Raw genomic sequence first — 26,082 nt, 5'->3', positions numbered from 1 at the left:
ATAATTTAGGCAAAGTCACCCCTTGTCATTTGGGAGGATACTCCTGTTTTTTAATGGTTTCCTTAGCAGACTATCACTTACTTTCCTATTTGGTCTTCCCATGAATTGGATTTACCTCCAGGTTATATGGCAATTTAAAGGATTGTGATGAGAAAGACCAAGGTCATGGCATTCAGACTAGTGTGGCTTTTTTTGGTTTCTTTATGTTTTTAAATTTTTTTTATCTTTTTTAAAAAAATAAGTATCTATAGGATATCTTTGAATGCCCAGCTGCTGAGTCTTTGGCCTAGAATGCTGAATACTTATGTTGATGTTGATAAGCTTCATTCTCATATCCACATTGAGAAACAAGCAGAAATTCATTGTTATGTGAGCATGTAAAGGCTGCTCTTTTTTGGACAGCATGTAGCAATTAAAAGACAAGGGCTGGGTTCTTACTGTCATCTGAAAGGTTAGGAGAATTCTAGTCTCATGACAGACTTTTTCCATTATTGTGAAAGGGAGAGAGGGATCTTGTGCATATACCCAACTGGGGCCCACAAATCCCCTTTTACATGTCCCAGTCAGAAAACATTAGACACTAGGTCTCGAGGCATGTCATGTTCGTCCCCATCGGGTGAGCTATATGTGCATGAGAGAGGCAGCCCCCAACTTAGAACCTGTTTTGTTGTGTTTGTTTGTTTGAGACAGGGACTTGTTCTGTCACCCCTGCTGGAGTGCAGTGGCATGATCATGGCTCCCTGCAGCCTCTAATCCTGGGCTCAAGCGATCCTGCCAACTCAACCTCCTGAGTTGAGTAGCCACAGGTGCACAGCACTGCATCTGGCTTGACTCTTTTTAAAAAGTCAGCTTGGCTATAGATAACATTTTCCCAGAAAATTAGTGTTTCAAATCAGAGATCTGTAAACCTTTTCTATAAAGGGCCACATAGTAAATATTTTAGGTTTTGCAGTCTGTAGGTCTCTGTTGCAACTACTCAACTCTACTGTTGTAGCAGAAAGCAGACTTACACAATATGTGAACAAATGTGTGTGACTGTGTTCCATTAAAACTTCATTTACAAAAACAGGCACTGAGCAGGGTTTAGTTTGCTAACCCCTGCTATAAACAATTATTCATTTCCTAAACCAGCCCACAGAAACTCCTCTGGTAAGTTGCTGATACGTTGTACATTTACAATATTATTTTCTCTGAAATTTGTTTTTTTTTTAATCAAAATAGTGTTAGGCCTTGTCTAAAAGTAACACATTTCTAATTAATACTTCCCGAACCTGTTCCCCAAAAGCAACTACTTTTTTCTCTTTTAGCTATTCTGAATGTTATCTTCAAATCTCAATGAAATAGGCTTTTATTGTTGTTTCTTAATTTATTAGTGTCTTAGTCTGTTTTGTGCTGCTATAACAGAATGCCATAATTTATAGAGAAATGAGAATAACTTATAAACAATAGAAGTTTTTTGGCTCACAGTTCTGGAGCCTAGGAAGTTTGAGATCTCAAGGTCAAGGGGCTCTATCTCATAAGGGCCTTCTTGCTGCATCATAACATGGCTGAAGGCACCACGTGGGATGAGAGTATGCACAAGGGAGAGAAGGGAAGGGGGCCACGTTTATCCTGTGTCACCCACCCCTGAAATAATCACTTTAATTCATTCGTGAGGGCAGAGCCCTCATGACCTAATCATTTCTTAAAGCTTCCACCTCTCAACAGTGTTGCATGGGAGATTACATTTCCATTGCATGAACTTGGAAGGACACATTTAAAGTATAGCAATCTAAAGCATAGACTTTCTGCTAAAATAGATAGGAATTTAGTTTTCCGATATCCTCACATGCCAATTTCTCCGAACACATGATATAATTTGTTTTTTGTTTCTCTACTTTTTACTGCAATAAACATTCATAGTTTAAAAGTTTACTTCTTAAGTATGCATCTTGATGAATTTTTTATTACCAAACAGTATCTTTTAGATTCCCTACTTTGTAAAATTAGGCTCTTGGCACCCCTGCACTCTCCACTTCTTTTTACTTTTATATAATACAGATCATGATATTTCATTTTATTTTGTAAGTACATTTAAGTCTTTAAGCTTTATCAAAAGGTTAATTCTAAAAATTGAAAATCAATAAATATTATTTGTGACCTATTTATAGTGGAGCTAATGATCATTATAGTTTAATTTTCTTGTTCGTATGGCTGTTTGTTTTTATGGAATTTCCAAATGCCATTTTCCCTTATGCTTTTGACCCTTTAATCACAGCTTCCACTTTTGACATTTTCCGACATCCAAGTTCACTTTGATGGAGTTTTTTCCCAGCCCCTCCTCCACAGGTTCCTCCATCTTTCTGCTCCCTAGGCTTGATGCTTACCTGTCACTCTGGAAGTTCCTCCTTCAGATCCACTGGTTCCTGAAAACTATCCTGTCTTCATTTCAGGTTCACTCCTTCATTTTGGTTGTACATATCTTCAATGATCTTCCTATAAAAGGGTGTGGAGGGGCTAACTTTTCTTAGTCTTTGAATGTTTAAAAATGTTTTGTTCTATTTTCATCTTTGGTTGATGATTAGGATGAATATAGAATTCTAAGATGAAAATTATTTTCGTCCAGCTCCTTTCTTCAGCATTTGTGGAGTGGGTGTTGAGAATGGAGTGGAGGGGAAGAGTAACTTCTCAGTAGGAACTACATTTGTCTGCAGTCTTCAGGCTTGCTCTTGAAAAGTCTAATACCATTCTAATTCCTATTCCTTTGTAGAGGGCCAGTTTCTTTATTTTCCTCTATTTTTTTAATTTTTTATTATTTATTTATTTATTTATTTTGAGACGGAGTCGCGCTCTGTCGCCCAGCTTGGAGTGCAGTGGCACGATCTCGGCTCACTGCAAGCTCCGCCTCCCGGGTTCACACCATTCTCCTGCCTCAGCCTCCCGAGTAGCTGGGACTACAGGCACCCACCACCACGCCCGGCTAATTTTTTTGTATTTTTAGTAGAGACGGGGTTTCACCATGTTAGCCAGGATGGTCTTGATCTCCTGTCCTCATGATCCGCCCACCTTGGCCTCCCAAAGTGCTGGGACTACAGATTTTCCTCTTTTTATATGGAAACACATTTTATGATAACTTCAAATTCTGAAATCAAGTCATAATTTTGTGAGAAATTAGAATCTTTTCTGATTCATCCTTCTATTTAATTTTAAAAATAATTTTCTATTAGTAAGATTTTTTCTAGTTTACTTCTTCCATTTTCATAGCATTCTCTTCTTGTTTTATGGTTATAATATTTTCTTGGCTCTCTTTTAAATTTTTGAAATTCTTTTCTATTGCCTGTCTTATGTGTATTTCCTTCAGAACTATTTCCTCCATTTATTCATCTCATTTGTATTCTTTCTTGTTGGAGGCTTTCTTCATATAACTGGTAACCATGATTGGCTATTCATAATTAAGAGTGAAGCCATTAAACAGCTGCCTTGTGACTCTCTATGTGGGCTTTGTTTTATGATATTTGAATGAGTTGGTGTCTGAATGTGCTTTTTCTCTGAATCTTCCAATTTCTTTTTAAAAGATTGCTCCAAATTTCTTTTTGTATGTGTGTGTGTGGTTGGGGGTAGGTGGTGTCTGGGTTGATGGAGAGGAGGAGAGGGAGGAGAAAAAAGAGAGATTATTAGTTGGCAGAATGGAGAGGGGCATAGGGTAGGGGTTAATGATTGGTTGCCTCACATACATGATTTCAGATAATTTGTTTTTCCTGCCTCACAGCTCATGCTCATTCTCTGGCCTTCGAAGAATCTCAAGTTTTGCCCAGTTTTGCAAGATTAATTGGGTCCTGCCCATAAATTTCTACACTGTAGATTCTTCTGCCCTGTTTCATTAATTATCACCCTTCCATTTTGTCTCTTTTAGAAAGAGGCTTATTTGGACCTCCTCAGGATATTATGCCATTTTAAATTTCTTAACTCAATTTAGTGAGGTTGATTAAAGAAGAGAAGATCAAGATCAACTTGTGTGGTCAATTGGTAGTCACAATATTGTTTTCTACATTTCTATTTTGAATTATTAGACAATATTTTATTCTGCTGTCCATTTTATAGCTGCATATATGTTGGCCTGCCAATTTAACCTTCATCTATCTGAGAATTACTTGAAACTCAGGCTGCTAGGACCATATTTCTATCTTATATTATAACATTTTTATATTACTTTACTTTTCTTAACTTCCCCCTCCTGGCTTGTGTGATGCTTGGCTGAGACTCAAGGGGCTGTAGAAGATATCTTCTCATTCATTATGCAGCCAGTAGCTATGAGTTGCTTCTGAAGTGGTTTCCAGTCCTTCCTGGGCTCGGTCTCTATAAGCAACCTGAGAGAGAGTGGCTCAGTTTATCTATAACTCTGACAATAAATTGTATTTTGATAAGTTGGAGTAGCTTCATGTGATGTTCCTTGCTTTTCAGCCCTGAAAAATCCAGACATCTCAGATTAATTCTTGAGAATTACAGAAAATTGGAATGAGGATGTTCATGTTTCTTGTGTGCCTTTCCCTTTGTTAAGCGTTTTCCTTGTATGCTAAAGAATGCTCACAGGTTGGTCTTCCTCTGGGATAGAGGGCCCTGGGGCTCTTGTTTCACTTTAAACACAGAAATAAACATTTTTGAAAATGGAAGCTAACTCACTTTCTCACTCCAATTTCATATTGCTCCTTGTGGATATATGTCTATATTCTGTAAGATGAGGTAGAGAAATCAGGATATTGGGGTGACAGTGCTTAATCTCTTAGGAAAACTTATGTCTTCATTGTTGTTTCAGGCTTCTTCATGAAAGTTTAAAGTAAATCAGGCTGTTAATTCACAGATATTCTCACTCTAATGTCCCTCCTGGAAAACCAAAACAGAACAAATAGTTTGCAAGGTTCATTATCAGTTGTCATGACATCTCTTACCATTTCTATACCACTTTCTTAAGGCTCTATTCACATTTTTATTTTTTAAAAAGGTCGGGTTTTTTGAGCAACATAAAACTTTGAGTCTCAAGTTTTGAGACTCTCAGAGTTAAAAAGTTATTAAGCTATAGGCTGTGGAGAGGGGGCAGATGGAAGAATAGGACTCGCCAGTGATCATCTCTCCACAGAAACATTAATTTGAACAACTATCCATGCGTGAAAATACCTTCTTAAGAGCTGAGGAAACCAAGTGAGAGATCATAGTACCTGGTTGTAGCATAATATGAAAAGATGCATTGAAGAGGGTAGGAGGGACAGTTCTACATTACTCACTTGCATCACCCCTACCCCAGCCCCAGGCAGCACAATGCAGAAAGATACTGTCCACTTTGGGAAAAGAGAGGGAAGTAAGCACAAGACTTTGCCTTGCACCCCAACACCAGGCCCACTACAGTAAAGCCCAGAACCAGGAAGGCCTCCATGGCCCAAGACTATGGCTGGTACCCACAGATTGAACCTCCAGACTCACCTTGGCATCAGGTGGGTCCCTGTAGCTCCAGGCTTTAGACTTTTGAGGCAGACTTGATCTCTGGTCCGCATCTCTAGTGGGCTGACTCTAGCACCCCTGGAATTTAGACAGTTGTCAGCAGCACAGAGGTCTCAGTGGCCTGGGTCTTTCAGCTTGCTCTGGTGCTCCCCTGGGCTTCTAACTTGTGTGAGCGCCACACTGGCCCTAGCAGCCATGGGCTTCTGATCATACATCAGATGTCCTGACCAGAATCTCTGGTTGGGCTGTTGAAGGTGTTCCCAGACAAAGCCAATCTGTGAAGACTGGAATATCTATTTATTCAAATGCACAAACATCAGTACGTGGCCATAAGGGTACAATCAGGGAAACCTGACCTCACCCAAGGGACAAAATAAAGTGCCAGTGACTGACACTAAGAAAATGGAGATATATGAACTGCCTGACAAACAATTCAAAATAATGGTTTTAAGGAAATTCAGAGAACCTCAAGAAAACACAGAGGAACAACTCAGTGAAATGAGAAAAACGATAAGTAACCAGAATGAGAAATTTAACAGAGATTGAAATAAAAAAAATCAAATTCTGGCACTGAGAAATACAATGAAGGAAATGAAAATGCAAGACAAAGCATCAACAGCAGAATTGATCAAGTAGAAGAAAGAATCTGTGAATTTGAAGACAGGTTATTTAAAAATGTACAGTCAGAGGAGAAAAAAACAAAAGAAATGAGAAAAACATATAGGATTTATGGGACAGCATCAAAAGACCAAACGGACACTTCAGGGATTTTCCTTCATGGCTCCCCAACTGTCTCGATGTGTACGGTGCCATCTTAGGAAAGACCCCTTAGCAATTCATGGCTGAAGAGCTCTAGCTCATAATTTAAATGTGAACATTTCTTTCTCAGGCCTGGCTTCTGGATCTTGGAATTCTCCAGAGATTGATACTGCAATTGCCTTCTCTGTCATTGAAGCCCTTGGTACCCACACCTTGCCCTGCAGACCTCAACAGGAGGACTTTGTTAGTCCCAACACCAGTCATGGCTCCAGTCGGGTGGGATGGGGGAAAGTCAAAGACAGTCTGTAAGTGATGCATGTGTTTGCATGGTGGCCAGGAACCAGCAGAGGAAGCTAGTTTGTCTATTCTTTTCTCTCGCTGTCATCACGTAGTGCCTTTACCATCTCCGGGTGGTGGCTATAATCATATGGACTCCTTCTATGGACCCAGTTTCCTGAACTTCCCAGAAAGAAACAATTCAACAATTAAGTTTAACAAATGTTTTGGGTGCCTGTTGTGTCAAGGAAAGCACATAAAGCAGACTTTAATTCTTTAAGGGGTTCAGGCAAGAATCTAATGCTCAAAGGTAATTCTGAGAATTAAACATAATTGGAACTTAGTTATTTAAATCTAATTTTTTTTGTAAACAGATGTGAGTCCTAGCATCTTACATGTCAATTAATTTTTTCTTTTAAATTCGGGTTTGAAAGTTATATATAATAGGTTGTAGCACACTGTTCTAGGCACATTTCTGGATTTAGACATGATTAAGACATGGTCCCTTTCCTTTAAGAACTTAATACATATAAATAACAAAAGTCAAAACAGTCATAAATATTTTAATAAAATAGCTTTCCCATAAAAAGTGCTCTGGGAACACATGAGAGGTAGAGATTAATTTTGAGAAGTGTTTTTATGGAGGAAATGGCATTTGGTTTTAATCTTGAAGAACAAGTAAGATTTGAACAGATGGACATAAGTGTTTCCAGGGTGAAGGCCCATCTTTAGCATAGGCTTGGAGACAGGACACACAAGGTGAGTTAGAGGGTGTGTATTGGATAGGTCATGGAAATGATGTTTGAAAGTTGTCTGGATCTTCTTGTAAATGAGTCTCGGTACCAGGCAGGGGAGCTTGAACTTGATGTTTATGATCTTGGAGTGAAGCCAATAATTACTATTTTCTTTTTAAAAAGTATCTGGCTCTTAGAAAATTCTAAGAATAATGCAGAAGTGCAAGTAAATGCTAGAACTATTAGAGTTGGCAACACAGGTAGGAAACGTGCGCAATTAGAAAAGAATTGTTGCAGAACTTGAAGACTGAGGTTTCAAACCCTGGCACAGTAAGAATAAGCTTGTCCTTAGGGTAAGCCAGAACCCAATCTCTCCCTCTCAGATGTAGTGAGTCTCTACCATGTATCAGGCAGTGTACTCAGAGGATGCAGAGTGAGTGAGAAATATCCCTGAATTCAGCTTAGCAGTAGAGCCAGAAAGGTAAACAAATGAGTGTTGTATTAAATGCACTTGCAAAGTACCATTGTGAAATGAAATAACAGGAACAATAATGACTATCATTTAAAATCCACTTGTTATGTGCCAGACTCTGTTGTAATCACTTTACATCTGTTAACTCATTTAACCTCTATGAAGCAGGAACCTTTATTATCCCCATTATGTAGATTAAAAAACTGAGGCACTGAGTGTGAAGTAACTTTCCCAAAATCATCCAACTAGACAGTGGTATAGAGGTAGGATTCAACCCCTATTTTTTGTGGCTAACAACTATACCTGTCAGGAAACAGCTGGGGCAGTAGGCAGGGGTGAGAGAGGAGTGAGAAAAGATGGGGATGGGTATTTCAGGAAATGAAATTAACACATGTAAAGGCATAAGGAGAATTTGAGAAAGATAGTTGGCGATTAGAGACGAATTTTACTTTGGGTCTGATTTCAATTGCTGGTGTGATATTTAGGTGGGAATGCCTCACTAACGATGTGGGTATTTTTGGAGAAGTCACCAGGCATTTTCTCTCTGGCCTCTTTCCTCTCCATGTTAACAGTCGCTCTATAGTGGTGCTCCACATACATTCCATCTCTGTATGAACAGGGAAGTAGCTGTCAGTGAGGAAGATGTAGTACTGTCTTCTAGCCTTTTCCTAAGTGGTCCAATTGCTCATTAAGAATCCACTCCAACTTAGTAACCAAACAGTATTGTAAATATTGATACTACGGGGGTATTCTCATGACCCAGTTGCCCCCAGCCCTTAAGGAACTTAAAATTTAGTGAGTGACCTACCCAACTGTGGCAGTATCTGAGTAGCTCCTTCTAAACTTAGAAAGATGGGGTTAACTAAGGATAAATAATTATCTTCACAGTTTCCAAGCAGAAATTGAACTGCTCAAAGTAAGTGTGTAAATGTGGGTGTATATGCATGTGTGAATATGTGTGTGGGTGTGTGAGTTTATTTTCTATTGAGATGGAGGAATCATAGGTAAGTATGACTGATCTCATAGATGAAGAAGTAAAAAGCTTCCTAGTTATTCAGTGTACTTAAACTTCTCTGAAACTTATTTTAGGTTAATGAAGGAAAATATTTGAGGTTCTTGCCTTAGAAGAATTGCCTTAGTAGTCCCTCCCCTAAAATGTTTTTATTCTGACCTTGATGCAAGAGTCAGTAAAGACCATTTCAGCAGTGATTGTCACATATCACCTTCCCTCTAAACATGAAGCAAAGTGAAACTATAATCTCTCCAGCATAGGCTGTTTCAGTGGTCTTTCATGTAGGAAGCTCTGAAGTAACACCAGCCCCAGCTGTGCTTTTTGGGATAACTATTTCATAATAAGAAAGAAATCATATTTTGAGACAACAGCAACAAAAAGCTGATATTGTGTCTGTGGTTCTGTTTTGAGTGCCACCACTGAATTAAAGCTATCCAAGGAAATGAAACATCGAGGTTGGGGGAACATTGTGTGATGTATGTTGGCTGAAATACTAAACACTCCAGTATAACATCAATATATAATTTGTATGGTTACAAATATTATTGGCATAAATAATTCATGCTGCTGCTTTGTATTTACTTGATTAACAGCGTCTTTGTCATTTTTGTCAGTCATGATGCCATTGCAATCTTGCACATTGTGTTTAAAGAATACTCGGGGAAATGTTTCAACTGTGTGTCTGGATGGTATAATGTATTTATTCATTTAGTCAGATGAAATGAAAGAGAGAGTGTTTAATATGCATGCCTGCATTATACTAGCTACTCTCTAAATAAATTACAGACAGTATTACTCCCTTTCATTGTAAGAAAAATTATAGTTTGATTTTTTTCAAGTAGCCAACATGCTGCCATTTTGTACTTTTAATTACAAATTTTTGAGGTTTTTCAAATGAGCTTTGAATAATCCTGAATATTTTTGTATTGAGATGTCAATAGGAAAACTTTGGTAACTTGAGTGGGCTATATCAAGTGAGAATTGAATTACTCTGCAAAAGAAGGTAAAATAAGTTTTCTACTTGTGGGTGAATATACTTCTGGAAAGTATAAATTCTTGTGACAGAGCCATGCCTTTGAATTTGCATCACTCCATGTAGCAGCCGTTGTTTTGGCTATGGAAGTACTTCCCAGAGCTGCCAACTGTAACTTCACTGGCATTGTCTATTTTGTCCCTCTTCCAATTCTCTTTCCTACTTCCTGGAGCCTGGACCTCTGGCCTGTCCAATGCCTTCCCTTGCAGCACACCACCCAGCCCTTCTTTCTTTGATTACCTTTCCCTCTGTCTTTCTCCCAAAAGAAAACTCCATTCCTACAGCTAGTCTCTGCTTGAGGTTAGATTTCATGGGGTGATTGAAGTAATTCATGCTCAGGTTTGGATGACTGGTATCAAAGAAAACCAGAGCTGGACATCAGTTAAAGCAGTACAAAGAGATTTTACTCAGGACCTTTGCAATATAGGGAAAGAGACCTTAGTATAGAACAGGGTTCAATTCTGAATACACCAAGTGGCAGGGTGGAGATTTAAAGCCAAGTAGCAGAGTAGGGAGGTCAATGGATAGAAAATTACTAAGGGAGTAGGGATAATTCTTGTTTACTGGCCTCACAGGATTCTGGCTGAAGGCAGGCTAGGATGATCAGATATTACGTGGGGGATGATGGGGGCTGAGGAAGATGATCACATAGCAAAGGTGAGGGATTCTGCCTAAACCAACTTGTCAGGACTCTTGCTAAAATTAGGCAACATAAAGACACACACGGAAGTCCAAAAGTCGAGGCCTGGTTGGGAAGAGGATTTAGAAGAGCCTGACTAAAAGTTTGGTCAATGAGAGACTGTATCACTGGGAAGCATAATATTCTATGAGGAGGGGTTGTATTTTAAATGAGGAGCAAATCAACTCCCAATCAGGCTCAAGTTTTGAGACGGTTTTCCAGAAGGACTCCTCAGAGTGTAGTCTTGATGTGGTGCAATGGAAGGGTCATGCTGAATTTCTTCTGATGAAGAATGAAAGGGTGGCTGAGGCTCTGGGGCCATCAGCAAGGCTTGCAATTGGCAGGGAGTGGATATGAGGTCTTTCTTGAATATTGTTGAATCCGTAGGTCCTAGTACAGACCCTGGCATAAATGGTGGGAGCTCAGTAAACCTGTTCAATAAATGAACGAGTTTCACAGATGAGGAAGCTGACACATGGAGAACGTGGAGAACTTTGCTCTGTTTCCTTTCACATATCAGTTAGGTAAAAAGTTGCCTTTATTTCTCCTGCCCTATCTAAAAGGCTGTAGTCACTAGATAATTGCCAGTCCTTTGCTCATGGATGGCACTGTAATTTATCCTTACGATAAGATGTTATTAATAGGCTGATTTCCATATAAGTATTTAGTCTCTGGAATCAGAAAGATGAGGACAAAGCATTTTACAGTCACACTAGCACATTTTTGAACTCACGTCCATTTCCCATGACTGGAACATTCAGCTTATGAACATGTAGCCAATGGAGAGAAGGATAAATCAGACCTGGGAGTCTCTGAGTTTTGACTTCAGGCTCCTTTCAGTCTTGCCAAGCTGCTTTTCTGAATTAAGTATATTCCCTTTGCTGTATCTTGTTTCATTTTGGAAGAGACTGGCCCTTTACTTTCTCTCAGAACCTGCTGAGGCAGGAATTCTTTGGTACTGTATTGAACAAAGCCAGGTAAAGAGAGCAGCCCTTACACCAGCAGCTTTGGCTGGATTTCTGAGAACCTCTTGGCTCTTCTTAGCAAGATGTCAATTCTGTACTTACCAGTTCTTCTACCGTGACTCAGATTGAGTGAATACTACTATAACCCTAAGATGGTTAGATCAAAAACTCTCCTGTAATTTACATTCTGAATAATAATTTTTAAATGAATCCTTTAAAAAAGTTAAATGCATCCTAAGAAATAGAACATGGATTTATCTGTGCCAGTTTCTTATCAAGAGGAAAAAATTTATAATGCTGAAAATGCCATTTGCCTTGTCTAGGCTTCTCATTATAAGAGAGGCATTTTACATGGCAATCTGAGAGTGAAATGTTTTTGGATTTTACACTGGCCAGGCTGTTCTGAACAGACTCTGAGTGAAAATAGTCAAATATGATAATCATCTGCTTTGGAGAACAGAAGGAAGCCGGTTTAACTTAAGCTGGACTGATTTTTTAAACTTGGAAGACACTGACTTCTGGTTTCTCAAGAAAGGCCAGAGGAAGGAAGTGTTTTCAAGGCACTCTATAATTTTTTCAGATTGTTTTACCAAATTTCTGCTTGGTTCCTTTTGTATAAAATGTACTCTATTCCTGCAAAGGCTCAGGTTTTCCCATGGAAGCATGCAGATTTCACAACTCTGTTGAATGAGATAACTTGGCAAATCTCACAGACGTGCAGTGGAGCAGAGTGACATAATGAGGTCTGAAGACCCTAAGTAGGCGTTTCAAATGCATAAAGAGGAGCCCAGTCATTCTCTGTGTGCCCAGGTGACAGCCTGGGTTGGGGGCAACCTAAGGAAGAGTCATTCCTCTCTACTTTGAGAAAAGATGAAAGGAAACTGAGAGGGAAAGATTCCTCCAGAAGGTGTTTGCTTTGTTTTCCCACTCTTATGTATTAGACCCTAATGTAGGCTTTTTTTATTTAAAATAATATTGGAATCCTTTATCTCCTTAGCAGTTACCTCCTGGGAAGGGTGGTGAATGACAATTTAATTCCTGGAAATGTTAGCAGCTTACAATACTTTTGTTTCATTTTCTAAAACTCAAGTCCACAGTCCTTTGTCAACAATGATCTCAACTGTGGAAGAGAAACTTTTCCTTTCCTGCTATTTTCTTCCTTTTTCTCTTCTCTTTCCTCCTATCTTCCCCCCATCTTTTCTTCTTTCCCTCCTTTTTTTCCTCTCTCAACCCTGACAGCTTCCTGGGCCCGTGCCGCATTTACATCTGCCACCTTTTGATTCTAGATTGCATTTGGAAGTATGCTGGGCCATGTCATGTATCTGAATTGGAGGTGCCATGACAGCCTGGCCGGCTATGTCTGGGGACCCCAGGAGCCATGGGATAACTGAACAGCCAACTGCAGATTCTTATTTGATAATTCTTTCCCTTCTCATGATTTTAAAAAGGAAAAAAAAATAATGCTTATTTAAAGCAATCACTAGTGACTCAGATCAACCCTCCTTAGGACTCAACCACTGTCCAGTCTCTTTTTAAGATTCCACTTTCCCTCTGTTTCCCCAGTAACCTTGATTAATTACATTAATATTGGCTTATCACATCCCTGGTAGCTTTCACAAAATGAATCACCTTACAAAGATAATTTTAATTACCATTCCCTTGCAACCTTTAACCATTCTTGCATATGTATTTTGTTGGTAGCATCTGCTTGAATTGCAAATGCAAAGAAATTAAACACTTTAAGAGTGGCTTTCTTCCAGTTTTGTTTTTCACCAGTTTTGAAATCTCTGTCTGCCCAAATTAATGCAGGTCTGAGACCACTCAGTTCATGTAACTACCTGTTGTGTCATTAAAGACAAAAGAATCCAGTTCCACTGAGAAGGCTCTTCTAGCCTGTGGCTCTTCTAAAAAGAAGTCAGTGTAGGTTTTGAAAATGAGCATCCACACATCTTTAAAATGATCATTGTCTGCTTAGAAATCCTATCCAAATTGGTCCTAAGTCACAATTCCTCTAGATTTTCTCCTATTATTTGAAATATTTTCAGTTTTTGATTCTTCAAATGGCAAGCAGCTGTGCCAATTTTCTTGGATTTTGTCATTTGCCAGCTTTTTCTTTTGAAAATACACTCATGCACCATATTCTGCTTCCTGGTGCCTACATTTGGGGAGTACCCGGGTTCACTTTCACATTCTCAAATTGCATGAGAAATAGCAGGATTTTCCCTTCTTCTAGTAGATGCCTAATGAGCACTCATTTTGTGTGCCATGCCATGCCACGTGGAACTTCTGGTCAAGGTGTTCCGTAAGGAAAGGGTGACTGTTCTCAGTAGTTGGCAGCCTACTGGGCCTAATACAGCAGCCTCTGAAGGGAGCCCCGCCACCCACTACCTCTCTCATGGCAGGGGTCTGAAATACCATGGGTGAACTCGGAGAACATTCCACAGTGTTTCTGGGCCTCTGTCTCCTTAACTGTAAACTTAGTTCATCTAAATGTATCTCCAAGATCCCCTTACCATTGCAGGGCTATCGCTTCCTTCTTCTGTGTTAAGAGATTATCCCCCTTTAAAACACAAAATTGTACTTTAAGCTGTGCACATTCATTGATTCCACAGCAGAAGCAAGCTTATAGAATTTCTAATTTGAGAGCTTCTGGAGAGTGTGAGGGAACCCGGGATGGGGGCCTTAGAAAGCACCTGCAGACAAATTTCCTTCTGTTTCACACTGCTCCCAAGTACTGACCAGCCTGACCAACATGGAGAAACCCCATCTCTACTAAAAATACAAAATTAGTCGGGTGTGGTAGCGCATGCCTGTAATCCTAGCTACTCGGGGGGCTGAGGCAGGAGAATCACTTGATCCCCAGGAGGCGAAGGTTGAGGTGAGCCGAGATAGCACCATTGCACTCCAGCCTGTGCAACAAGACCAAAACTCCGTCTGAAAATAAAATATATATATATGTGTGTGTGTGTGTGTATTATACGTGTATACAATTTGGTACGCAATGTCTATATGCAATGATGTATAAAACATACAATTCTTTTCCTAGAGGAGTGAATAGTGAATAGTAAGTTCAGTGAGGGTCATAGAAAAGTGAAAATATATTACAGTATTTCTGACAAGAGCCATTATTAGAGGAAAGCCCAAAGGAGTATGGGAGGCCAGCCAGGTAAGGGGTGTATATATATATATATATATATGTGTGTGTGTGTGTGTGTGTGTGTGTGTGTGTGTGTGTGTGTGTATGTATATATATACACACACACATATATATACACACACACACACATACATATATAAAATAAAATCTCACAAACTCCGTAGCATGCCTCAGGTGACCTGGTCCCAGCTTTTACCTCTCTAGCTTTACAGCTCCCTGCCTCACACCCAGTACTCCAGCCTTATTAAAACATTTGTGTTCCTGCCAGTGTGCCAGGCCTCTGCCCGCCCTGCCCTCCATAACCTCCTCCAAGTCTCAGTTTAAGGGTTGCTTCCATAGGAAGCCTTTCCTACACCACTTGCTCCATCCTAGGGTAAGCACCCCTTACCTGGCTGGCCTCCCATACTCCTTTGGGCTTTCTTCTAATAATGGCTCTTGTCAGAAATACTGTAATATATTTTTACTTTTCTATGACCTTCACTGAACTTACTATTCACTCCTTTAGGAAAGAATTTTTCCTAAAGGAAAAATTCCTAAAGGAAAAGTATGTTTTATACATCATTGCATATAGACATTGCCTACCAAATTGTAGGTGTTCCATAAAAATGTGTCAAATGGATAAATGAATAAATGGAGATTTTTTAAAAGGCAACATCATTGAAATTTGAAAACCCCCTCCTTTTTTTCTCTCAAAATTGTTCCTCTCTGTTGACAGAGTTGCAGTCTGGTACAGTCAGTGTAAACGTCTTATTTCTCCTAATGCCCTTCCTTAACCTGCTCTGATTCTTGATTTATTCCAAAAGTTAAATTTGAAAGCCTTTGGGCATGCAAATCCCAATTCATATCCTCCTATGAACAAAACTCCCTATGAGTCTCTGGTCACCTGGCAGAGTTTTTTTTACAAGTAGCATCACATATGTCAACACTGGCTCTACTAACTAAAATAGCACTAAAAGGTGCCTTGGTGAGAATCCCATACTTTTTGAGCTGGAATAGACCTTCAAGTTTATCCCAACTTGCTTGTTTTTAAGGCTGGGAATAGCCTGGTGAATTTTCAAGATGACAGCAGTTTTCAGTTGGAAGGCTTTTAGCTTCTCTTTAGGCTAGCTTACCTGGACAGTCAATATGGCTTTATAAGTTCTATGTGTCAGATACAGGCATGATAATGTCCAGCACTATGAAAAGGGCTGTCTCTTTCTATGAGTGTTTCATCAGAAGGGAAAATTTTCCAGACACCTCCAATGGATTTTTGCCTCCTACTTCATTGACCCATACAGGTCACAACCACCCCTTAAACCAGTCACTTGCAAGAGGGCTGGGATTATCAGGATAGACCAGGATTTAAACAAAAACCAGAAATAGTGTGGTTTTATTGAGGCATGGATATTAGAACAAAATTGAGGTTCCCTCATCAAGGAAGAAGGGAAGAATTTTTTCTGGTAGGCAACTGACTGCTTAGTAAAAAACGAACTGGCATTTTTTTGCAGTTCTTCATAAGTATATTAATACAACTGCTTTCCACAGTGCTTTAACCACAGAGCTTTGCAAATGCCACTCCTCTTGAGAAGCCAGGAAAAACTACTCCAAGATTAGGAATGGGCAGCTTTATTTCTCACTTGTTGCTTCTGTTCTGAATGCCTGAAAGAAGTTGCTTCCAGACATTGATCTTTTATCTTTCAGAGTATTTTAAGGAGCTGTGTAGAATTTTTGTTTGATTTATGGACTCTGGGGGACAAGACAAATTGAGATGTGAAACACCAGCTTTTGTTCTTTCTGTCAATCTAATCACTTTCAGATGAAAGTGATGAAGAATGACATTCAGGCTGATATCACAGAGGAGGTGGAGTGGGGTGGGGTGGGGTGTGATGTGATGGGAGGGGTACATGAGGACAGGCAAACACTAAATCTGGTTGTTTTATTAAAAAGGTCAGTGAAATCAAACTGAGCAGACAGTTTTTCTAAACAAAACGAAGGGAAGGTAAGCCTCTAGGTCTAGGTCAGTCTGCCCTCACTCTAGCATGGTTCATCAGCACAGTTGTGAAAACTCCCTTGGAGAGGTGAGCAGAGTGAGGCCACTGTCACTATCTTGCTCCCAGTGACCCCCAGAGTGGCTAACCACTGACCCCGCTGCTGGGTTAGGATTGAAAAGGTTATAAATAATAGTATTCATATTTGATCCTAGTTGTTCATAAAACCTGGCGTCTTGTTATCCAGGAAACAGCTCAAATGTCACCTCTTCACAGAGGATTTTTCTACCCAAACCAAAGTTTTGTGTCTCCTCCCGGCAAACCATCCAGCCCTTGTGTTTTCTCTCCTGTTTGATTCTCTGAATAACACACATCATTATCTGAAATGGTCTGCATTTGTTTATTTATTTGTTCAAACTTCATTAGAAGAGGGTGCCTCGCCCATTGCTGTAGCCACACCACCTGAAGCAATGACCCATAGGATTGGGTGCTCAGTTGTTGAATGAATGAGTCATATTTATACAAGGAAGTCATACTCTGTACAGGAAGACAGGAAATTAAAATAGATTTCTTTACACTCGGAATTATGACATGGCTGTTTGCCTTGATTTTATCAAAAATGATATTCATTTATCCATCCATCCATCATCCATCCATCCAACCAACAAACATTTCTTGATTACTTACCAGGAATTATCATTCCTGCTGGGGTTCTTGTTTGAAAGTAGATTGACATTTAGTAGGGAAGACAGGCATGCAAATAAGTAAGTGGGAAGTTGTGACTAAAATTATGTATAAGGAGAAGAGGAAGCAATCGATTTTGCTTGGGGAGAAATATCAAGAAGACTTGAACACAGAAAGTAATGCTTGGGCTGGATCATAAAATATGTATGTCTGTTTACTAAGCAAAAAAAGGGAAGGCAATCAGCATGAGCAAAGGTGTAAAGATGTGGCATAGTATAGAAGGGTGGGAGAAATGCTATAGCCACAAAGGGCAAGAGAGTAGCCTTGTATGGGTGAAGGTGGGAGGAGAGGCATGGCACCAAAGCTGAGGCTGGAGACCAGGCAGAGGACCTCAATCCTTCCACACAGTAGGCTTTTGATAGAGGAAGAAAGGAGAGCCGACAAAATCTCTTTGAAATGTGACTCATAAGCTTTTAAGTAATCTGTTGCTAGTGGTGATAGGTTTTTATTAAAATACCTAATGTAAGATAAACCTTTATATAAGAGAAACTTTAGGAAAATATTTGAAAATAAAATTTGCAATATTTCGGTAATAACCCTCGTTATCTTGTGAGAAGTTACTTAGGAATAGCTTTAAACAACTAGCTTTGGAAAAACATCCTATTTGACCCCAAGGAATTTTGTAAAGCATTTTAGCCATTAAAGGAAAGGAAGGTTCTATTGAGTTTTTAAAATGGGCTGTGTGAGCCCATTTGTTTAAACTAAACACTGAAGTGTCTTAGGTTTTAATGAGCCTAACTGAAAATTTAGCTAAAAACAACTCATTGGAAACCAGATGGTGCAGCCACCATTGTGAGCTGAGCTCAAACCCCTTGTTTTCTCAAGAGCATGTCAATTTAGCTCCACAGAACTCATAGTACAAAGATGCTATTAATTATGGGAGCCTCTGTACCCTAGTCACTCTCTCCATCCACCCCGGCCAAATCAACACATCCTTCCCCTCTTGGAAATTAATGCTTTCATTAAAATGTGTGTGTCTCTTGGGGAGGAGGTGGGGATGGGAAGGGATGCCATTTCCCCAGGTTTTCATCTGTTAGGGAAAAAAGTTATTCAGTGACACTGGGAAAAGCACAGTAAGGCAGACTTTATTCAAGGTCATTGGGAGAGGCACAGGAACCATTGCAATAGCATCTTGCAGCGGGAGAGAAATAATGGCCTCAATTTTGAATACAGCTTGAGCAAGTGGGAATTTATAGCCTAGGTGCTGTGTGGGGGTTAGCAGGTGGAAACCTACTAAGAGGAAACTTCAGGATTAAGGGGGATTCTGGCTAAGCAACCTAACAGGACTCTTGCTGAAAACAAGCCCGGGTGATCAGACATCACCTGGGGCATGGTGGAGGATGAGGAACATAATCAGATAACAGGGATTATCAGCTATTGAGGATAGGTGGTTCTAGCTAAACTGACTTAGCAGGGTTCTTTTGCTAAAACTGGATTTTACAAGGAAGTGCATAGATGGGCCTAGGAGGAGATTCAGAAGGCTAACTAAAGGTTGGACAAGCAAAGGATTGTCACATCCTCTTATATGGCACGCAACAGCCAAGCTCTGCACTACAGATTAATACCTTGAGGGCTTTAGTAAATGAGGGCAAGAAGAGGGATGTAATGGATCTCTTGAAGAGCACTGGGTGAGGGACAGACAAGGACAATGAAACAGACAATGACAGAGTTCAGAATTATGATTCCATGATATTATAAAGGGTGCCTGGCTTATTAAGAGGTTGTGCTTTTCAGTTGTGGATACCACTTTCCAGTTTTTTGCCTTAATTTCTATTAATTCTTTACCGTTGGCCATGAGATTAGCCAGGCAATTTGTTTTCTCCTCCCTCTTTTTGTATAGTAATCTATTGGGTTATTTCTTTCCATTTGTGAGTGTTAAGGTCTTTCCAACGTGAGGGTGAAGCAAAATGTAAGGCACTGGAATCCTTTCCACCTTCTTTGTTCAAGGGCTTAGTGTTAGAGGCTCCTCATATCTTCAGTGGTCCTGACTGGACTCCTGTGAGGGGTCAGCTTCTAGGCCACCAGGCAGAGTGTTCAGGAATAGTTATCAATTGCCAATAGACAACTGCTGACTCTTACTTAACCCTAAAACCTGAGTCTTATCCCATCAGCCGTGGGTGCGTTCCTAATGGCGACTCTTGAAAGATTCATGTGGCTGCCTTCTGGTTAAAGGTTATGTTTAAATATTAGGTCTGTCCTTCCAACTTTTTGTCAACACTCTGCCTGAATGTAAAGTCCAGGTTTGAGATTTATTCCCCCAACATTTATAAAGTACACACTATGTGCCATATACACACACACATACACTCTCTCTCTCTCGTGTGCATGCTCTCTCTCTCTCTTATATAAAACACACTGTCCTTGACTTTGTGGGATGTAAGCTGTGCACAGGAAAATCACAAAATGTAGATTATTACAGCACACTACAAGGTTGATAGACCCATGAATATTTGTAAGGAGAAGTCAAATTTCAGTGGCGTGTTTGCGTGTGTGTGCGCGCACATGTGTCTGATTATTTTATGTGTGTACATGAGAGAGACTGAACTTCTGAGCAGTCCAAGGAGTAAATTAATTAAATTGGTTACTGGGATTATAATGAGATTATCATCATTGAATTGTCTTAGCTGATACTTCACCAATAGGATAAACCCCACTTCCAGAGTTTCTTAGAGGGTCAAGTGAACAGGAAGAAAAATTATGGGAACCAGGTGGAGTGGGCAGAAGGAGGGCAGGTCCTGGCATGGTGTCCCTGGAAGAAATGGAGCGAAGTCCTAAATTGGGCCTGACTTGGAAGAGCTTCCTTTTTATCTATTTTAAGTTGAAACTTGGCTGACCCTGACCAAGAGGAGTCTGGACTTGGCTTTTCTTTACTGGTCTCGTGGGTTCCTTATGTAGTTGCTACAGGCAGTTGTGAGGAGAGCCTGTTGGCATTCCTTTCTTTGATTGACATGGGGCATTGGAAAAAGGTGAGGGGAATTAGAAAACAGCTAGAAGAAGAAACAAATGAGTCATCCTCCCATCTCCTAGGCCTTTATTACTTGCATTTTCTCTCTGAAAGTTGATTCAGGTCAGTAGGGAAATCATTAGTGAGATAGTGTAGCTCTTTAAAGATTTCTTACTTATTGATGCTGAAGGCCCTTTGTGATGTGCATTTTCTTTGTTCTATTCCTCCACAGTGGTAGGAGTTCTAGATAAAATATTAATCATAAAGGTTTTTAAAAATCATTTCCAATTGCACAGAGATATTAGGAGTTATGGCCACAAAGCCTTGGTACAGCTATATTTTACTGCCCACGTGTCTTCCCAGAGATGACACATACGCTTTTCATTTTGCTGTCATTATTCTTCATGAGATCGCAGGGCATCCATCATCACTGTGGTGGAAAAATGAAGATGAGGGACAAAAGCACCAGTCTCTAAGCACAAGATGATGTGTTTGTCTGTAGTGGCTAGGGACAATCTCCAAATGCAGGAACCATAAAAGGCTCTGTGACTTGTACCTCAGGAATGAGATTCATCAGCAATGAAATCAGAATCTCAACAGCAGTTTGATATTGAGGGATTTTGAGAAGCTGTGTCTCTGTCCGCATGTGTGGAATTCCATCCCCACGGGCAGTGTAATGCCATCAGAATCTGAGCTGGGATGAAAAAGTAGCCTGCTCTCCAGAAAGTCACATCAAGTGTGGCTTAGTTTATGGCAAAGATGAATGGGGTGTTGATGTCCCAAGAGAAGGGGATCTTGGCGGACAGTGCTTTTGGCTCTTTGTTGCTGGTGGGAACCCCAGCTAGGCTTTGAAAGTGGCATGGGTTCTCAAGTACCTGACATGTTCTTCATGCTTTTATTGACGTTAGAATGTTGTTTTCCATTCTGAGAAGCCAGATCACAAGGACAGAGTGCTGTGATGAGCATAAATACTATCAAACAAGGTCTACAGCAACAGCAATAGTTATTATGTCATGAACATCTGCTTTGTATTTCACAAAGACTCTGTCCCAGTTCCTATCTGAGATGGGGAGATGTTATTCTCAGATGAGGTGACTGAAGCTGAGAGTGGTTAAAGTGTCAGGGTCACATGTCTGGTAGGGTTAGAGCTGAAATTTGGACTCCTGTAATGCTAAGTAAATTTGCATGCTGCCATGATGGCCAGTTACATGGAATCATTTAAACCTCTTTTTACATTAAGCCTGTGGAAAATGAATTCCCAGTTCTAGAGTACCGCCTGCCCTGGTTCTACAGCATGGTTCCTTGCTTCTTCTAAGTCTCTAGGACCTTGGCAGAGTAGCATACAGTGGTGAGCAGTCTTCTTTTGAGATGAAATGGGCCCAGGGCTGCCTCCTTCATGACTTCATTGTTCCTCTCTCGGCCTGTTTCTGTGCAGCCGCTTGTCATGTCAGTTCCACTTTAAAACCAGAGTAAACAGTTCTTAATAGGTGCTTTTTAAGTTTAAAGAAAGATGGAAAGGATGTTCAGACCTAGGGAAGTAGACCTGTCTCTCAGCAGGTGAGTTATTCTGCTCCTGATGTTTTTATACCAAACTGAAAATATACAGTCACACACTCACCCCTGGGGAAGTGCAGAGGACTCTCTTCATGGGGGGCCAGTGTTACTCTTCTGTCCTGAGTGAGCATTCAGTTTATTTTGATCCCTGGCCTCAAACTCAAATACCCTACTGCAGTCAAAAAGAAACTCCCAAGTCAGAATGGGGATGGTCAGAATTCATCCATTCCTGCCAGTGGTAATAAATGGCTTCTCTTTTGGGTCAGTAGGAAGTAAATTGGATGACTCCTCAGCTAGTCACCCTTTGTAAAGTTCTTTCTGACCTTGAAGCTTAGAGGAAATTGGCTGGAGGGCAAAACAGTATTTCCTAAAGTGTTTATGAAGTAGCTCCCCATGATTCTTCATGGCCAGCACTCTGTCCTTTGTATCTGTGGCTTTGTTTTTTAGTGTTCATGAAGTATTGGAGAAAAGAGTTCCCCAGGCATCTCGTTTGGTTAAGAAGATTGCATCTCCCCATTGGGACATCCTGGCTATTTCCCAGCAAAATGCTCTGCCTCCCTCGACTGTACCACATAAGCTAATTAACCTCTTTATCGATTCTCTTTCTCCTTATTTTAATTTCAGCTGGTATTTCTCTAGGCCCTGGGCCTTGGGAATTGTAGACTCATTTGTTGAACTTCTGGCAGTGTGAAAATTTCTAATAGTTTGCTTTCTGTTCCCATGCATAGTGAAGTAGGCATCAAAGAAAATAATTGATGAAAAAAAACAAGGCTTGGAAAAACCCCGAAACAACAGCCATGCTCAAAAGAGGGAAGAGGACCATTGGGTACTTATTTTTTTTTTCCTTGTTGGGAGCTGTTTTCCTTCTTTTCCCTCTGTGTGGCAAAGTAGTAAATGGTCGTCTTATTAGCTGCTCAGAATACTTTATTCTATAATTCTATATGTTTCTGTGGTTCTATACAACTGCCTTCCTTTGAGTTCCTCCTGGAGAACTAGACCCCTTCCCCCATCACCACTAAGCCATACCCACAATCAATATAAATCCAAGGAGATGGGATGAATTTCAAAACCATAGAGGGCCTAGAAAGTAGAGAAACTGTTGTGGCATTTACGGCTCTTCAATGTCCTTCCAAACAGAAGAATGTTTCTGAAACACTGAGCAGCAGCCACACCTGGGGTCTCTAAAGGCACTCCAGGATATGAACCATGACACCTGATAATGTGCAACAAAATGAGCTTTGTTCTTTTGGGCCTGTGGCACAAAACATTCCTTTGCCCGTGTTCAGGCACCTCAGCTTGAATTCATTTTGTTTACTGACTAATCAGACAACTTTGTATTTATTCTCTGCTGCTTTTGAAGAGGTGGTATAGTGGATAAGTACTTAGGCTACCTTTTTTGGAAATTTGCCTCTGCAAGATGCTTTAAAATCTGTTGATGAGCAGGTGATGTCTAGGTAGTGAATAGAAAAATCGCTTTAGCTTATATCCGGAGTTTGCAAAACAGGAAACTTTCAAAATGATTTGTAGTTTGATTCTGAAACCATCTTAGCTCTAGCTAAGATGGTTGTAACCAGACAGCATTTGTCACCCAGGGAGCTTTAGAAAAATCTACTGTTTCCTCATGGGGAGTAGAGGGATAGATTTTCAAGAATCTTTTTGGTTCATTTGAATGTGGGATTTTCCATAACCTAAAGTAATGATTAATAGTTTCTCTGCTCATATCAGGTTTTGTTGGCCAGATGTTTCTTTCAAGAACTTCAATCCTTTATTGTCTAAATTGAATCAGCATCAGATAAAACATATTGCAACCTCAAAGTCCATTGCAATCCAGCAAAATAAGATGTGGTTATGAACCAAAATTAGAGGAAGAGGCTAGGATGGCACTGAAAATTCTAAGTGATTTTCAGATATGTTAAAAATGGCTTTCTCAAAATTTTGAATCTTTGGAAAAGCCATATGATTAATCTACATGCTAAATCCCTTTTTATTTTACTTCTCAGAACACAATTCCCAAAGCCATTACCATACTCCAAATTATAACGTTTATCTTGCTTATTCAAAAACTGTGAAAAATCAGATCATATTTTCTGAAAATAGCTTTTCTGTACTTATATTTTGCATATCACTTCTGATTATGAAATTGAATTAAAGGAACGAGTCGCTATTGTGTTATCTGCCCACAGATTATTGCAAAATGATAGATAAATGCTGTACTACTAGGATTTCCATTTAGCCCTTATATGTTAGCTGTAAAGGGAGGGATAGACACATGTATCTGTATTAGTAGTTGGGAGTCTTCATCCAGTAATGGAAATTGGATCAGTAATGATCATTGTTTTCTGCCCCAAAGAGAGGCTTATAGGATTATTAATATGAATACTACAAAACATCTGGGTGATGCTTGTATCTAACAGTTTATCTTGGTGATGTATATCCAGAAACTGAATTTACAGTTGCAGGCAGGAAATCTGGGTTTATATTTGAGACTCTGCTTTATATGGGGAAGGGTGAGCAAATATTAAAACTCTAAAAACTGCATTCTCCACTGCTCTAGGTAAAGCCTAAAATTCTGTAAATTAGTTGATCATTCCTTCATCTTGTAGCAGCCTGATAGAGGAAGAGTGTGGTGTGGTCTTTGGGGTCCGAAGAATTTGGAGAATGGTCCTTAAGAAAATCAAATTATCTTTTTAAGACTATTTGGGGTTTTATTCTGTAAAATGTCTTTAGTAATAGACACGCTACATTAAGATCAATATAAATGAGGTATGGAAGGTCTTTGTTCTGTTGTTCCACAAGTACTGGAAGTTACTATTTTCTTGCTAAAATAAACATTCTTAAGAAAAAAGGAAATTTAATATTAATCATTTGCACTTTGGGATGAATTAAGAATTTAAGAGCAGATATTAAAAACACTAAATGTAAAGAGGGCTTTAAATGGCTGGTTGTCTGAGTCATGTCCAGAAAAATGGATCCTGAAAGACACACTTCATAATTTTGCTAGTTGTGTGTTTTTATTTAAACTCTTGAAGGACAGCTAGTTACATTCTTTGTTTTATTGATTTCTCTGGAAGTTTTAATATGTAGAATAAAGACATTTCCTGCTGTTTTCCAACCTTCAAGAATGAATTTTTAACTTAATTTTGTGAGTTTTGCTCTTTAAGGGAAAGAGTGGCTAGATTTGTTTGATCAGAGTTTCCCTTGGGGAGGGTAGAGAAACGGTGATCTGTTCAGAGAGGATTCGGGAGAAGGTAATATGTTTGTTACTTCAATTTATTGTAGGGTCTTGATGGTCCATGCAGCCTAAACTTCCTAGCCGTGACATTTGAGATAACTGGGGGTGGGGTGGGGGGGGGACCTGTCTTCTGATTTCTTTTCTTTTTTTTTTCAGGCAGATCTATGAGAAAGGAGGTGAATTCAGCAATTTGGTCACAAGCTTAAAGGGAGGGTTGGGAGGCAGAGGAGCAAGTTGAGACCTCATCACAGGTTTTGCTTTTAGCTGGATTTATCAGACAACCATATGTGAGAGTGAAAGAATTAAGCCAGAGTGAGGGGTGCCTGAAATCAGAGACCTTTCGCACCTCACTGAGGCTGCAAGAGGGACAGCTTTGAAGTCATGGTTTAATATTCCCAGATACTTTAGTTATTTCTTTTTTTTTTTTTTGAGACAGTCTTGCTTTGTTGCCCAGGCTGGAGTGCAGTGGTGTGATCTCGGCTCACTGCAAGTTCCGCCTCCTGGGTTCACGCCATTCTCCTGCCTCAACCTCCCAAGCAGCTGGGACTATAGGCACCTGCCACCACGCCCGGCTAATTTTTTTTTTTTTGGTACCTTTAGTAAAGACGAGGTTTCACCGTGTTGGCCAGGATGGTCTCGAACTCCTGACCTCGTGATCCACTCGCCTCGGCCTCCCAAAGGGCTGGAATTACAGGCACGAGCCACTGTGCCCGGCCCTAGTTATTTCTTAAAGTTGACTAAGAGTGGTTTCCTTCGGCCCCAAAAAACTATGCATTCTAAAACATGAAATGCTTCTCTACACCCCTACTCCATTTAAATTTTCTGAAGTGCCCATTTTTCCTGTCTTACATGGTGAAATCCTAGCTGTTTATTTTTATGTTCTTCAAGATTTAGATGGTGTCACCAGGAACCGAGTGCTCTCCCCATTCCACTACCCCATGATTTTCTTACAAAACCCAGATTAAGTTTCTCCCAGATAAACAGATAAAACTAACCTAGCTGATTTCTTATATCAAAGTTAACATTGTGAATGTCAAAGAACCAATGCTATGCAATGATGTAAAATATCGCTCTAATTTAAT

The 26,082-nt window shown here is 39.9% G+C and overlaps 1 protein-coding gene across 8 annotated transcripts in view, besides 3 other annotated features; it reads left to right on the top strand.

Annotated features, from left to right (window-relative positions):
• TNIK (TRAF2 and NCK interacting kinase) overlaps positions 1-26,082 on the top strand; it is a 401,995-nt gene that overhangs the window by 181,698 nt on the left and 194,215 nt on the right. The gene's annotated exons all lie outside the window — the stretch shown is intronic.
• Positions 11,297-11,406: an enhancer, noted in NCBI's record as "active region_20812". NCBI's record gives its function as "activates an Ori minimal core promoter by ATAC-STARR-seq in GM12878 lymphoblastoid cells {active_cell/tissue: GM12878}" and the evidence as "EXISTENCE:reporter gene assay evidence [ECO:0000049][PMID:35858748]".
• Positions 21,683-21,732: an enhancer, noted in NCBI's record as "active region_20811". NCBI's record gives its function as "activates an Ori minimal core promoter by ATAC-STARR-seq in GM12878 lymphoblastoid cells {active_cell/tissue: GM12878}" and the evidence as "EXISTENCE:reporter gene assay evidence [ECO:0000049][PMID:35858748]".
• Positions 22,874-22,923: an enhancer, noted in NCBI's record as "active region_20810". NCBI's record gives its function as "activates an Ori minimal core promoter by ATAC-STARR-seq in GM12878 lymphoblastoid cells {active_cell/tissue: GM12878}" and the evidence as "EXISTENCE:reporter gene assay evidence [ECO:0000049][PMID:35858748]".

This window comes from Homo sapiens, chromosome 3 (genome assembly GCF_000001405.40).
Source record: "Homo sapiens chromosome 3, GRCh38.p14 Primary Assembly".
In the NCBI taxonomy this organism is placed as follows: Eukaryota; Metazoa; Chordata; class Mammalia; order Primates; family Hominidae; genus Homo; species Homo sapiens.
This window is presented reverse-complemented; position numbering and strand designations above follow the sequence as displayed.